General features: G+C 38.5%; 1 protein-coding gene across 17 annotated transcripts in view; it reads right to left on the reverse strand.

The window, feature by feature from the left end:
* Nucleotides 4,225-16,847, reverse strand: part of WNK3 (WNK lysine deficient protein kinase 3) — a 166,078-nt gene continuing 153,455 nt past the window's right edge. For all 17 annotated transcript variants that reach the window (XM_047442382.1, XM_047442379.1, XM_017029744.2 and 14 more), the window contains 2 exons: nt 13,393-13,595; nt 4,225-10,055 (listed from right to left, as the gene is read on the reverse strand). In XM_047442382.1, coding sequence (XP_047298338.1) covers nt 9,726-10,055; nt 13,393-13,595 — 533 coding nt within the window. In that variant the 3' untranslated portion in view covers nt 4,225-9,725. The remainder of the gene's footprint in view (nt 10,056-13,392; nt 13,596-16,847) is intronic.

Below are 16,847 nucleotides of genomic sequence, written 5' to 3' on the forward strand. Positions count from 1 at the left end.
GTGAGATCAAGAGCAGCCATATTTACATTGTCACCGAACTAGAGGAGGAAAGGTTATGTCCTTGCCATACCATTGCTTCTGAATGCAGTAGTTGCATATGACCAGCAGTTGTCCATGGCTAATGTTAGGTGCTGGCATTTTGGGAATTGTAGGTATGGGGAAAACAGCATGTTTATGGGACAGCCAAGAGGAGGTTTATAGATAAATATCTATTAGACTGTCTCTGCAGCACCCCTTTTCTACCATCTTATCTACCTTATCCTCATGGTTGCAGCAGGAGCCATCCTTTAGGGACATTCCCAGAGAATTTGATTGAGCTGGAGAAGAAGACATGAAAAATCCTGGCTGTATTCAGACACCTGGTTCATTTGCTCCTAAGGCCCATCTGTATTATCCCTGGGTTCTTTGAGGCACCCCTATCTTTATAAATTCCTATTTTTGCTTAAACTTGTTCAAATTGTGTTTATACTACTTAAACACAAGATTCCTAACATAAATAGTACAGGAGAAACTATACAGGATGGAAGTCATAGAATAGCGTTTCAGAATGTGTGCTTTGGAGCCAAGAACTGGTTTCCAATACCAGTTCAACTTTTTATTAGCTGTATAGTTTTAACAAGTTGCTTAGCCTCTTGTACCCTTCCTGTATCTGTGAAATGGGGGCCCATTAATTTATTCAACAGATTTATTTAATACCTACTACATGCCAGGAATAAAGCTGGGCACTGGAAGAAAGCAGTTTTAAAGACAGTCAAGGAGCACAGAAAGGTGATAAGTAATGATACCTTAGAAGCTTGTGAAGATTAAATGACATTGTAGAGCACTAGCATAATAACTGGCACAATAAGCACCTAAGAAATGTTAACTCTTATGAAGGGTGGGGAGAAGCATAAAGAGGTTATATGGAGAGTTCACATCAAACTCAATCTTATGTCATCATTCCACTGAAGTAGGAACTAGGTGTTCAGTTTCTGAAAGAGGTCCACTTAGCTTTCTCTATTGCCCAAATCCTTGGGGCCTCTTTGAGAGGCTATGAGGTCATAGAGTTATAGGAAATAATTCATCAGAAGGTCTAATGAGGTTGCCATATTGCTTGTGTTACCTGAATCAGCAACTGGCTGACAGTAGGAAAGTCATTTGATTAGTAAACAATGACAGTGGTTCTCAACCCAAGTCACCTATCAGTGTCACCTGGGAAGCTTTTTAAGATGATGGTGATTCTAGAGATGGGGCCCAGACACTAAATTTAAAAATTTTATTTTTAATTGTAAAATACACATAAAATTTACCATCATAACCATTTTTAAGTATATGGTTCAGTAATATTAAGTATATTCATATTGTTGTACAACTAAAACATTTTTTAAAATAGTTCCCAAGGTGATTCTAATATACAGTCAGGGTTGAGAACCACTGAGCTGGAATGGAGAACGTTTATAAATACTGGTTAAATTCCTAAGCCTACTTCCTCATTTGTAACATGCATGTGAACTAGTCCTTTCCAATTCCAAAATTTTATGATAGTCTTTTCTCCACCTAGCCCGAGGTCTTGCTCCTATCTAGACCATCATTTATGCTATACTTCACTCCTGTCTTGAGCTCCTGTTATAATGTCCGTCTTCTCCCCACTCCCCAACTACTTCACCTCTTTCTAAACCCTAGTCACAGATGTAATTCTGTTATGTCATTCTGTGTGTGTGTATGACGGAGTGTCACTGTGTCGCCAGGCTGGAGTGCAGTGATGCGATCTTGGCTCACTGCAACCTCCACCTCCTGGGTTCAAGCGATTCTCCTGCCTCAGCCTCCTGAGTAGCTGGGACTGCAGGTGTGTGCCACCATGCCCAGCTAATTTTTGTATTTTTAGTAGAGACGGGGTTTCACCATGTTGGCCAGGATAGTCTTGATCTCTTGACCTTATGATCCACCCACCTCGGCCTCCCAAAGTGCTGGGATTACAGGCACGAGCCACTGCGCCTTGCCTGTTATCTCATTCTTTTACTAAGTGGTGCTCATTAATGATGGCGTATTTTAAAAGGGTCTATGTTGGTCTTATTCCCCAACTTAAACACTCTCACCTCTACACCTCACTTTATTACATCATCTTGCCCCTTTTGGGCCAACACCCAATTTTTTCCACCAACAGACCTTATGTTAACCCACGGATTGAGTTCAGTTTTTTTGTCACCTCTGTTTTGTCCTCATTTACAATAATGATCTGTAAGGTCCCTTGTGTAAGTTATTTGAGCAAACCTACTATGTATCAGGCACAGTGATAAGCCCTTTATATGCTTTTTCATTCAACCTCAAAACAACCTCACTGAGGGAATTATCCTTTTTACAGATAAGGAAATTGAGGCTAAAAAGTCAAGCAATTTTCCCAAGTCCGTAAGATAGAATACAACTCCAGGTCTGCTGGACTCCAAAAGGTATCTGTATTAACTATAATCAGAATCAGGGCCCATTTCCAAACCAGTTTAATTTCCCAAGTGCAAGTTTACTGTGAAAGTCACCAGTGATATCTAACAATAAGTGCAATTAGTAGAGACAGGGTTAGTTGCCTTAACACGTCTCATTTAATACTCATAACCACCTCATTTTACAAGTGAGGAAATATAGGTTCGAGAGGTCTGTGAATCAAAAAAAACCCATGCTTATTCCACATGTACCTTGTTACCTCCCTTTAAGGATCACCTAAGATAGAATGACTCACAGTCATTGGGTCAGTAAATCAAGATAACATATATTTAAAAACACCTTTAAAACACTCATCTAATCTTGAATATTTCTGATAGGCCTATTACTCTTCATCCAGGGTTGTTTGCATAAGCATATGCATGTCCTTCTCCCTAAGTTACCAGATGAGCAAGTGATCTGACCCAGTCTTGAGTTTCTCAAGTCAGTGCAGAGTGACGAATGAGAAGTGTGGGAGGGAGATTTCCAAATACGTGTTTTTCTAAAGGTGGATGATACACACTATCAACATGAAAGGAAATACTTCTTAATAAGTTTGTGCATAGGGAACACTTTGAATCCTTGCTTGGGCCATAAAAACCTCCTTCTGAAACTGTGAAATAAGCACTGGATACAACTTCATGAAAGACATGTAAAAAGTGTTCATACAGGTTGGGTGCAGTGGCTCATGCCTGTAATCCCAGCACTTTGGAAGGCCGAGATGGGAGGATTGCTTGAGCCCAGGAGTTCAAGACCAGCCTGGGCAACATGGTGAAAACCCATCTCTACGAAAAATACAAAAATTAGCCAGGTGTGGTGGCAGGTGCCTGTGCTCCCAGCTACTCGGGGAGCTGAGGAGGGAGGATCAATTTGAACCCAGGAGGTTGAGGCTGCAGTGAGCCGTAATTGCACCACTGCACTCTAGCCTGGGTGACAGAATGAGACCTTGTCTGGAAAAAAAAAAAAAAAGTGGGCCAGGCAAGGTGGCTCACGCCTGTAATCCCAGTAGTTTGGGAGGCCAAGGCGGATGGATCACGAGGTCAGGAGTTTGAGACCAGCCTGGCCAATATGGTGACACCCCGTCTCCACTAAAAATACAAAAATTAGTCGGGCGTGGTGGCACATGCCTGTAGTCCTAGCTACTTGGGAGGCTGAGGCAGAAGAATCGCTTGAACCCGGGAGGTGGAGGATGCAGTGAGCCAAGATCGCACCACTGCATTCCAGCCTGGGTGACAGCGAGAGACTCTGTCTCAAAAAAAAAAAAAAAAAAAAAGTGTGTACATACAAATCCTATTAGATAAAGGCCTACTCTAAATGTATCTGAATTATTATGCATGTAGTACATCTGAGAATCAGTGTGGCCTAGGGTTTTTCCCATGAGCTGTGCAGACAGACAGATCTGGGTTTGGATCCAGGCTTCACTACTGACTAGCTATGTGGCCCTAGTAAATTCTTTAATCTCTCTGATCCTCAAATTTGCATTGTAAGTGGAAATAGTAACAGACCCATCTTATAGGATTTTGTGTGAATTAAAAATATCGCAGGTAAAAGCCTAGCTAACACAGTATGTGTTCAGTAAATGAGAGCAACTGTTACAATTATGGCTCATGTACAAGCGTGAAAATGAAGTCCAACTCAATTTGTTGGAACTGTAAATCAAGAGGTAACATGCAGCTTGGTTAGTTTTTTTAGGCCAGCATAGTTTACAGGACTAAATGTTCTAAATCTGCTAAATTACATTTGGTAAATGAAGAACCAGTTTTAGCCAGATGATTGCAGTGACTATGGCAGCATTTTAATAAGATAACATACTCATTTAACACAGCCTTTATTTTCTGTTTCAAAACAGAATTTCCAGGAAACAAAACAAAATACTTACAATGGTTGGGTACAAATGAAATAAAAATCACAGTTTCAAAGAACCAAAATAAGACAGTTGCTGAAAGGCAGATCACTTGGTTTACCAAAAAAAAAAAAAGGTTAATGTCAAAAAGGATTAAAATTAACTTTAACAACATTCTATATAATGCTACATTCCCCAATTAAGAAAGGAGAGTTCACATATACAACTAAATGTTAAGTGTGGAGAAGAGGGTGAAATTCTGCATACTTCATAGTAAATTATGCTGAAAGTTTATTAATTGCATAAACTTCCTGAGTGGCTCCCATGCTGCACTAGGTCTACATGCTTAATATATCAAACAAATTATAGCTTTAGGTGATTGAGCATGACAGACCTTGAACAACTGCACTTTCCAGTTAGTCACTGTATCTGCTGAGGGTATGTTCTGGACCGCAAACCTCAATCTCAAATCTTAAGTTACAGTGGAAAAGAAATTCAACTTAAAAAAAAACTAGAGGATGACAAGCACGCATTTAGGAGTTTATTTTATACTGGCACATTTTTTTCTCAGAACCCAGTTTCTCTCTTCCCTTCTTGCTTGACTTTTAACCTTGTTTGAATTTTTTTTAATAAAAAGAAAACCTTCCAGAATAGGAGCTATTGGTTTGTACACTCGTCTAGCTATCTTAGTTGAAAATAACTTTAGTGTAACCTAGTTACTATCCCAGGCTCCTTCATATATTGGCTGTCAGGGTTCCTGACCAATGTTTGTGTTGATCTTTCACATACAAAGACTATTTCCAGGGTGACCTGAAGGCATTTGGTTCCATAAAAATTTCATACTAATTTCAATTCAAAGGATTTTATCAAGTTTGAGTGTTACTATCTTACGATCTGCATTTTTAAAATTTCAATCTTAGAAATTACACCTATCAAATCAAAGGCCTTTTCTACACACCACCCCCCTTTTCTGATTCCTCTTCTAAACAAAGGGAGGGGGGGAACAAGTCCTTGATAAACTACAGATTCAAAAAACAATCTTCTAGAAAATGGCCTGCATACCACCTCAGATAGTTCAAGTTTTTCTGACCCAAACAGAAGATAAAATAACTGAATCCCAAAATGATGGCAAATATACCTCAGGAATGTACTTATGCATAATGACTGAAATACAGTATTTACCAATATTAAATATGCTGTAGTGTTACACAGTAAACATGTGAAACAAGGAACATCTGGTTACAAACATTTGCTGAGTTTTCAAGGAAAAAAAAGGAATGCATCATTTTCATCACTCAGAAAAGACAGCAAAGAAGAAAGTCAATGCTTCCATAAACTTTAGAGATTGGATAAAGTTATATAAAACCCTTACTATCAACTACATTTCAACTAAATGCATTTGGCCGTTTTAAGGTAACAAAATACCACTGCAAATACCTAGCACTGTGCTAATATATGTTGAATGATAGGCCATTGCTGAAGGATTTGTCAAATATTTCGCTGTGGTAGTTAAAGCAATTTCAACCCATTGCCCTTTAGGCACACAGACGAGAAATGCATCTCTAATAAAAAATGCAAAGTTATAGGCACTGGATTGTCTAATTCAGGTACTTTCTTACCATTTGTTTATTTTATAACTAACTCCTACACCTAAATCCTATATTGCCACCAATTTCAATTATTCTTCTGCTCTCCACCCCCAAATCCCCAAAGCATATTTCACAGAAGCACATGGCTCTCCACTTAAACACAGATGAGAGTGATGATCCCTCTCATCTCAAACTGTTGGCTAGCACTGGGAAAAAAGAGGCAGACCAGATTTATAATCTGAAAGAATACTGAGAATCAAGGCAAAAAAGCAAGTTTCACAGGTAGTGTTTACTTGTGCACCCAAAACAGCACTGAAAACGAGGTAGTTAAACAAAATTAATTGGACTAGAATTAAATCTGGGGTTCTAAAATGATATATCCCATCAAACTGTACATAACACTCCACACTCAATCCAAAAATCACAGCAGAAAAGTGCCTTTTAAACTTTCACAGATAATTTTGCTGTCAAACCATTGGAATTCATGCTTGATATAAAACTGGCAAGGAAGGGATGAAAAACAGAATGAATATTTGTTATATTACAGCAAATTACCTTAAATAGAGATTCAAGACTGCTACAAATATACATAGGGTTATTTTCATTAGATTTACACCAATACTGGTTTCATATTCTTATGATGTTACACCCAACTTCACAGACATAGCAGCAGGTACTTCATGATGAAATGCTCACATTACCACATATGGAGATACAGTACTATTCATCAGACTTGCACTTTGAGAAGTAAACATGGTGGCTGGACATACAGACTATCCTCTGAATAAACTTTACAAGCAGGATGGTTAAGTACAACCATTTTCTCCTCTACAAGAAGGAAAATGAAAAGGACAGGTTTGTGTGTTTTTTGGAAAGGAAGGCCCTTTTTATATAGTAGGCTCTTTGTTAAGAAGGGAATTTCTGAGCTTTACCTCAAGTTAATTATTTCTGGGGAGGAAAAGTACCTCAGACAAGGATGAAAATAGCACTATTATATGATTTAGCAAAATTATGAAATAATGCAAAAGCCCTGGATAGAAAACTAGCCAGTATTTACAGTCAAAGTGACTATAATCTGAACCAAACATGTAAGTCATGGGAAAAAATAATTTTAATAAAACCCCACAGTGATGAGAATAACATTGTTTTCTCCATTTCTGCACAAGCTCACTTTTTTCTGTATTTTTAAATGTACACATGTTATATATACATAATGTATACATAACATATATGATAACCCGGTTACTGCAGTCAGCATGGAGACAGCAGTACACTATTCACCATCTTCAAACTTTAGAAGACTACTTTTCTTTCCAGCAAAAACCTGAAAAGATTGTAAATATTACAAGGCACTGCAAGAGTCTGCAGGCAAACAAGAATGATGAATTATATGTGGAATAGAGGTGGTGGCCAAAGGCAGAACATAGGATGTAGAGCAGTCATTAATACATGTAATTGTACATGTCAGCCATGGAGCTTTTTTCATCCTGGGGTACACTGTTTAAAATGATTGTGACTAGAGAAGAAGGGGTCCTAAAATCTGCAGTATTTTCACTTTATAGGTTGTATGGCTCGGTGTAATTACACAAAGCCAACTTTTTATAATGAAACACAGGCAGTTTTAAAGAATTAGGGATTTTAGGAGCATTGTTTTTATACATATGGAAAACAGTGCAATGCAAGCATTTGCATTACACTAATGTCCTAAAATCACTTTAAACTGCAAACCAATACTGTACAAGAAATTTGAAGAATCTGTACTTAACATTTGGAAAGACTCATACAAAACAGATCATGTTCTATGAAAAGAAACAGTGGATCTTATCAACAGCAATTCTCAAAATGCTGCCCTAGATGCCTCAAATTATAGCGACAGAATCTTCTTGATAATGGATGTGATCCTCAGGTAAGCAACATAAAACACATTTTTTTTTTTTTTTGGAAAAGAGGTACTTAATGTCACAAAGTAGACTGTGCAAAAAAAAAAAAAAGTACACCCATTAAGTTTTCGTCATTACCTGGCAAGCCCATGGGGTATAATTTTTAGAAGAATACGGAGGAAAATCTGTTAACAGTAATGTTGGGTAGCAATTTGGAATGTTTACTAGTAGACAGAACTCCTAATTAGGTAAATGTGTATTAGAAATGACCTTAAAGTCTTCAGAGTGGAAGGTAAGTAATTTGAACATGAATACTTAGTTGGTAAATAACATTTTAAGAATTCTATTTAGGTTTCACAGACTGAGCATTAGGTAACCCTGTGACTAGCCTTTAACATTATTATAGTTAACCTTCTTAAAAACCAAAGGTGTACATTTTGACATTGCCTCCCCTCCTCCTAAAACTGGATAAAACCCAGTAAAGTGCAACTTGACAGTGATCTCTCTCAGATTCTAAAGAGGCTGCCAAACTCATTTAAGATCTAAAATCATCTAAGATACTATAGATACTAAAAAGAAATTCTAACAACTAAAAATTGTAATTAAAAAGAGCTAAGGACAACTTAAATAGTATCCTTCTAGGGTCTACTATCTCACTGCAGGACAGTGTATACCCCACATCTCTGAGAACCCTGTAAAGCCAGTGTTTCATATGTAAGTCTCGAAACCTACTGTGTCAAGTAAATTTCACTTCAGAAGAATGGATTGAGGTGTAGCTTTAATCCCCCTTGTTAGGAATACAAGGATTCCCCCCAAACGAGATTCATATCAGCTGCAATATATGCCTTGCAAAAGAATGCAAGACAAACCAATGCCTCTCAGATGCTCAAAACCAATGTAGTATGCATGTGAGAAACAAGGAGACAGCTGCTTTGAATTATTACTGAAATCGTAAAACAGCAGCAGTATCTGCAGAATCAAGGAACTGTTACAATTCTGTTTTTTCCCTTTCCCTCTGTCTCACCCAAAACAAGGCTTCATCCTACTGCTGTGATGACGGGAAATCACATTTAAAAAGGGCTCATGTTCTGTATTGGTTGACAAAATTATTGTAATTTTTTGGGGGGGCTAAGGAGGGCGGATCACAAGGTTAGGAGTTTGAGACCAGTCTGGCCAACATAGTGAAACCCCATCCTCTACTAAAAATACAAAAATTAGCCAGGCATGGTGGCTGGCGCCTGTAGTCCCAGCTACTCAGGAGGCTGAGGCAGGAGAATCGCTTGAACCCAGGAGGGGGAGGTTGCAGCAGTGAGCCAAGATCACACCACTGCACTCCAACCTGGGTGACAGAGAGAGACTCCATCTCAAAAAAAAAAAAAAAAGTGATTCTAATTTTATACACCAAAACGTTTCCTGCAGCAAGTTACCCTGCCTTCTGTGAAAGGTAAACCTAAGACAAACATGTGAAGTGAAGATCCCATAAGACTCTGGCTGATGGAGGGTCTCAGTTCATCCACATTTGGGGAGAATCAATCTAAATAATTTTTAAACATTTTTAAAGAAGAGTATCCAGCTGCAGATAGCAGCAGTTAAAAAAAAAAAAAAAAAAGGCGGGGGATGGGGAGCTTCTCAACAATTCATGGAAAGTGTCCTGGAAATGGTAATGCTCAAGCTGAGCTTATTAAAGCATTCTGAACAGTATTTTTAAAAAATCAAGTATCAAAGAGGATAGAATTTGAAGTGAAAAAACATTTCTGTGTGCAGTGTTCTATCTGCAAACTGCACATTTCTACAGAATGATGAGCTGTATCAAATACCACACTGGAACAAAAAATATATAGTCTAAAGTAAACTCAAATGAGGGAAAATATGACAGAACCCAAGAGGAAGAAACTTTAATATCTTGGGTGTCCTGAAAATAATTCTGAAAAAACCTCCCTTTTTATCACCATCTACTCTGATTCATTTAGGACCAGGAGGGATTGTGGCAGGATTCTGCACTGATGAAGTTGGAAATGCCTGCATATTCATCCCTGGCTGGAATGGTCCCCCAGATTGGGCGGGAATTACTACAGATTGTTGTGTTGTTCCTGAAATTCCTACCCACTGTACTGGATACCCCGCCCCCGCCACAGCATTATACTGACAAACGTGAGGCATTCCATATGATGATAATGGCCCAGGAAATGAAGGGAGTGAGAGTCCTTGTGGCAAGGAAGTTGGGACAGCTCCACGGATTTGGGACAGAGAAGAAATCCATGTTGATGTGTAGCCCATAGTAGACGGAGTATTCTAAGAAAAACAAAAATAAAAACAAAAGATCAGTTTATTTGGTATAGACTTTTATCAGTCTATATTCCTTCCTATTCTTTTTTTTTCTATTGCTGCTGCACAAATGAATATTCCTTCCTAGTCTTTTTGGCATACTATTCCTATTGTTACTATTAGGGACTACCATTTTTGGAGCACCTTTCTGTGTGCTAACCATAATTATGTACCTTAATTAATGCCATCTTCATAACTGCCCTGCCTTACATTTTTATAGTTATTTCCATGCATACATACATAGAAAGATATTTGACATGATGTTTATCTAAAGTTAATGAAAATTATTTCTGGGTGGTGGGATTTGAAGGTGATATTTTAAATTTTGTACTTTTCTGCACTGATTAAATTATATAATGAACATTATTAGTTTATAGATAACCTGATTTTTAAAAAAAGACAAATTGGAGAGGTTATACATTTTCTCCTGGATATTTCAAAGGCATCTCAGAAACAAATGCCTAGAAATCAAATGTGTGATCTTCCCCTACCAAAGCACACTGTCTGCTCACATTCCGCATCTCGGTGATTGGTACACTAGAATAGCATCCAGTTATGGGAGCCAGAAACCTAGCCTTAATACCTCCCCTTCACCATACATCCATTCCATCACCAAATCTTGTCCATTTAATCTCTTAAGCATTTTTTGGAATCTGTTCACTTCTGTTCAACTCAACTTCTCCCATTTTCCAGACCAGTTAAGAGTTACCATGACTAACTCTTAACTGGTCTGCCAACATCTACCCTTACCTCCAATAAATAATCCTTTTCTCTTGCTTGAGTCAGAGTCATTTTTTCAAAAAACAAGTCTGATCATGTCAACCCTAGGGCTTAAATGGCTATTTATCTTTCTTCAAATACAGACGGCTGGGCGCGGTGGCTCACGCCTGTAATCCCAGCACTTTGGGAGGCCAAGGCGGGTGGATCAGCTGAGGTCAGGAGTTCAAGACCAGCCTGGCCAACATGGTGAAACCCTGTCTCTACTAAAAACTCAAAAATTAGCCAGGTATGGTCGCGAGCGCCTGTAATCTCGGCTACTCAGGAGGCTGAGGCAGCAGAATTGTTGAACCTGGGAGGCATAGGCTGCAGTGAGCAGAGATCGCGCCATTGCACTCCAGCCTGGGCAACAAGAGTGAAACTCCGTCTCAAAAAAAATAAAAACAAACAAACTAACAAAAAATACAGATGAAGTTCCTTATCATTACCACTTTTAAGACTCCATCTACCTTAGATCCATTGTGCACTAACTCCTCTTTGCTCTCTTCACTTCAGCCAAACTGGCCTACTTTCAATCCCTTCACGCTCCTTTCCTCATACAGGGCTTTTGCGTATGCGATCCTTTCCGCATGGAATCATTTCCTCTTTTCACCTAGTTAACACCTACTCATCCTTCAGATCTCTGCTTAATCATCACTTTCTCAGTGAAGCTTTCCTTGACTTTCCTTTACTAGGTCAAATTTCCCGTATTATAGCCTATATCTTTCTTTTGTAGTTCTTATTACGGTTGCAATTTTATATTCGTATATGCAATTCTGTTATGTCTAACTAGCTGTCTTAGCAGAGCATAAATTCCATGAGGATAGGGATCATACTTGTTTTTACTCACCAAACCCATGTCTAACAGAGGGCTTGGTACATAACTGTTAAGCAAACAAGTATTTCTGAGTAAGGATACAGAGCAATACAATGTAAGAGCATTAGTGAGATGGGCTTGCCACACAAAAGATATAACCAACTGAACCTACAAATACAAAAATAGTTACTAGATATAGGGTACCTACTATGTAACACCTATAAAGGTACAGCTTTATAGGTGTTATCTCATTTAATCCTCACAGCAATCCTGTAAGGCAGGTATTCTGTTTGAAAGACATGAAAACTGAGGCACAGATAGATCAAATGACTTTTCTAAAGTCACACAACTAGTAAGTGACTGAGCTGACATTGGAACCCAAGTCTGTTAAATGACGTTCACTACTTTTATTCACACACCATTTTCTACTCACCCTTCCTCCAAACATCCTCCATTATACTCCAGTAAACAGCCCTCCAACTAGTCAACAAAAGCCTCCATTCACACAGTACTCAGAGGTTCTCTCACTGGCAGTACAAATGCATTTATGTCTTGAAATTTGCCTCTAAAGGCTTCCAATTTTTACAATGGTGATGCTATCTGTGTATAAATTGGTGCCACAAGTAAGATAAATACACAGAGCTCCCAAGGAGATATACTGCTCACTAGCTTGGGAAATCGAGGATTTTGAAAATTTTTATTCAATATTAACAATAAATGCATTATTTCTTTAACAAACTATATGACTATACATGTACACATATGACAATACATGTACACAAATGTAACACACAGAGATAAATCTCTTTCAATTAAGAGGGTTAAAATTATAAGCCCTGATTCCATTTTAATAGGTTTACTCATTTTGAAAAAAAAGTCACTTACTTTAAAAATACAAAAACACAGAAATGTACAAAGTAGAATAAGGCCCAAATTCCACCATCCAGCATATTTTTCATGGCTTTTCATATTTCTCTATGCATATCTAATGTATATAATTTTGCATAAATTATATTATACTATGTGTGCTGTTCTGTAAGCCTGACTTCTTCCTACTCCAGAATGCATTGTGGGCATCTTTCTTCACTTCATTGCATGTACACCTGACTAAGGCCACATGCAATAACTAGGCATCTTTTCTTTAAAACACCTCTTATAATATTCCAGTTTAAATAACTTTAAAGTTCTTTTTCATAATGAACAAATAACTTATCAGATCTAAGAATATTGACGTGAAACACAGGAAAACTTTTCCTTAAAACCCAAACTCTTCTTGAAACACTGGACTGAATTAACCTTCATTCCAGACGCTTTCTTCTTTGATACTTGCTGGATTTTTTTAAAAAAATAGAACAGTCTAAAACAAGGGTCGGCAAACCACAGCCCACCACCTCTTTTTGTAAATAAGGTTTTAATGGAACAAAGCCATGCCCATTTGGTTACATATTCTCTATGGCTGCTTTTGCACTATAACAGAGTTAAGTAGTTGTAATAGTATAGCTTGAAAAGCCTAAAATATTAACTAACTGGCTCCTTCCCCCCAAAAGTTTACTGACTCATGGTCTAAAATATAATTTGCTCAAAGACATAATGAATCTAAAAAAGGATAAAAGTCTCTATGTTATCAAGTCATACTACTCTCTCATAGTGACTGTAACTATAGGCCTAAGCGCATCAATTTTTATGGTTTTAGTTCTTGTAAACAAAGTGAATTGGGTATAAACAACTTACTTCAGATACTTTATTCCAGTTTTCTGTCTCTAGTTTGTGTTGACTTTGTTTAAGTTGGTTTAAACTTGGCTTAATAAGAGAATTTCCTACTGCTTCCTTTGTCCAGTCATCCACCAGCTTGTGTAAGTCATCTGTGAACATCCCTTTTTTACTGGCTGGAGACTGTTGGCATGATGCTGCATTACTCTCCACACACAGTGGATCTATAAGACAAAAAAAACAACAACAGGGAAACCATGAAAAAGAATTAAAACTGATAATCAGATAACTCTTTGGCCAACAAAGCAGTTAACAGAGCCACACATGGGGTGCAATTAGGGTGAACACACACTCTAGTTTACCTGCGTCGTCCTGGTTTAAAGCTGTTGTCCTGGAGTAATTGCTAACAGTACTCCCTTTCACTCTCAAAAGTTTCCTCTTGGCTGGGCGCAGTGGCTCACACCTGTAATCTCAACACTTTGGGAGGCCGAGGCGGGTGGATCACGAGGTCAGGAGTTCAAGACCAGCCTGGCCAACATGGTGAAACCCTGTCTCTACTAAAAATACAAAAATTAGCCAGGCATGGTGGTGGACGCCTGTAATCCCAGCTACTCGAGAGGCTGAGGCAGGAGAATAGCTTGAACCCGGGAGGCGGAGGTTGCAGTGAGCTGAGATCACACCATTGCACTCCAGCCTGGGACAGAGCAAGACTCCGTCTCAAGAAAAAAAAAAAAAAGTTTCCTCTTGTTTGGACAGCAAATTATATGGTTACCTTAGGTATAAATCAAGGGTAATAAATAGTACTCATAAAAATTAGTATAAACTCTAATCTTTTCACCAGCTCCCTCAGATAGATACTTTAAAGATTAAAAAAGAATCAAATAATGTTAAAAACAAAAAAAAAAAGGTCTAGTGCAAGCCACTTTTATAATGGGAAAACAAGGCCCAGAATAAGTAAACTGACATGCCCAAGTTCTTGCAACTAATTACCAGCAGAGACAGGCCTGGAACTCTAAAGCCTAGACAAAGACACTCTATCTTTTCAATGTACCATACTGACTTTTAAGAAGCTTCAGAAAACTAGAATCTCATTTTATTTTTTACCGATATTTCTGTTTACGATTTAAAAAGATGAATGTGTATCTAGAATAGCAGAAATGAAGACACAGATGGTTTGATGAGCCTCATGAGTTGTGGAGCATAAGATGTTCAAATAAATGAAAGAAATCAATTACAGAGAATTCCATAAGTATACTTTCCTAATCTGAACATCACACTAAGTCTTTACATGATAATTGAGTACTATTACTCATGCTTATGATATCATTCTTACAGGAAATATTCATAGAGTTCCAATTCCTCTGACTGAATTATAAGCCAAAAACTTACAGAGTGGTTCTAAAATTAATTTTAGGAAATACAGTTGTAAATTTAAGCACAATAACAGTTCCAGGGATTTAACAAGCATGTGAAGATGCCTTATACATGTGTTATGGTACTTCTTTTAATCATGAAAAAATACAAAAAAAATTGCAAGAGGTAATGCAAGAAGCTTCCATATTAATACTTTTTGAAACTTATAACAGGCCTGTGATATAAACAAGTGTCATTCTGTTTTATAGACAGTAAAACTGGGACCCAGAAGATTAACAACTGGCGTCATATGCTGGGGCTAGAATCCAGATATCCTGACTGTCAGTTCAGTGGGCTTTCCGTTGTACTCCATCATAAATGCCAACTGCTGAGGTGGGCGGATCACCTGAGGTCAGGAGTTCAAGACCTGCCTGGCCAACATGATGAAACCCCGTCTCTACTAAAAATACAAAAATTAGCCAGGCGTGGGGGTGTGCGCCTGTAATCCCAGCTACTCGGAAGGTTGAGGCAAGAGAATCGCTTGAACCAGGGAGGCGGAGGTTGCAGTGTACCGAGATCACGCCATTGTACTCCAGCCTGGGCAACAGAGCAAGACTCTGTCTCAAAGAATAATAATAATACAATAAAATAAATGCCAACTGATATAATAAAGTAGGAAATGGAAGAAGATATTACTTAATAAAGGGAAACATGACAATCTCAATGATTGCATATGCATAGTCTGTGATTTTCTATGAACCCTGTGCTACTGAAAATTTAGATTCAAAGGTGATTAAATATTTTTGTTTGTTTTTGAGACAGAGTCTCGCTTTGTCACCCAAGCTGGAGTGCAGTGGCGCGATCTTGGCTCACTACAACCTCTGCCTCCTGGGTTCAAGCGATTCTCACACCTCAGCCTCCCGAGTAGCTGGAATCAAGGCGCACACCACCACGCCCGGCTAATTTTTGTATTTTTGGTAGAGATGGGGTTTCACCATGTTGCCAGGCTGGTCTCAAACTTCTGACCTCAAGTGATCTGCCTGCCTCAGCCTCCCAAAGTGCTGAGATTACAGGTGTGAGCCACTGCACCCAGCCTTAAATATCAAAGGGAAACACAGTAGTGTTGTATAAGAAGAGTTTAATGAATTAATCAGAACATTCACATATACAAGAGTTTTAAAACAACATTTACTAATTTGGGGCAACCATGATATATCAAAATGACATACTAACTTGTTGGAATCCCAATTTTTCTAAGACATAAAATCCTGAGACACAAAAGTCAGTCTATAATAAAAGTATCATTTCTTCTTGTTATCCCTTTGCACATTCAACTAATTCTCTGCTTATTCCAGCGAGGGAGCAAAGAGCACAACAAAGTTGGGGAAGACTTTAGAGCCTAAGCTTTTATAGACTGTGTTCTCAACCTAGAAGAATGTCAGCAGGTAGAATTAAAAAGAGAAGATAGCCAGAAACAGGAATGTATCAATGCCCACAGTTTTGCCTATCCGTCTTCTCTTAGAAATATTTTTGTGCCCAATCCCTTCAGCTTCTAAAGCATTTGTTGCAGAGAGGTTAGGTCTAAATGTCATTAATTTAAGAACATTTCTGGGGCTGGCACAGTGGCTCACGCCTGTAATCCAATCATTCTGGGAGGCCAAGGTAGGTGGATCACCTGAGGTCAGGAGTTTGAGAGCAGCTTGGCCAACATGGTGAAACCCCGTCTCTACCAAAAATACAAAATTAGCTGGCCATGGTAGTGGGTGCCTGTAATCCCAGCTACTCAGGAGGCTGAGGCAGGAGAATTGCTTGAACCTGGGTGGTGGAGGCTGCAGTGAGCCGAGATCACGCTACTGCACTCCAGCCTGGGAGACAGAGTGAGATTCCACACACACACACACACAAAACCAAACCAACCAACCAACCAACCAACCAACCAACCAACCAAACAAACAAACAACAAAAAAAAGAACATTTCTGGGTGGGAGGGAGAAAAAGAAGAGAAATGAAAAAAGAACATTTCTCCACTAAGGGAAATAAAATGTTAGGACTCTTCTTGTGTATAACTCTGGTCTAACAAGTTATCTTAAATACTCAATTGGCAGTAAATTAAGGCTGCTGAA

The sequence above is a fragment of the Homo sapiens genome, chromosome X (genome assembly GCF_000001405.40).
Source record: "Homo sapiens chromosome X, GRCh38.p14 Primary Assembly".
Taxonomy (NCBI): domain Eukaryota; kingdom Metazoa; phylum Chordata; class Mammalia; order Primates; family Hominidae; genus Homo; species Homo sapiens.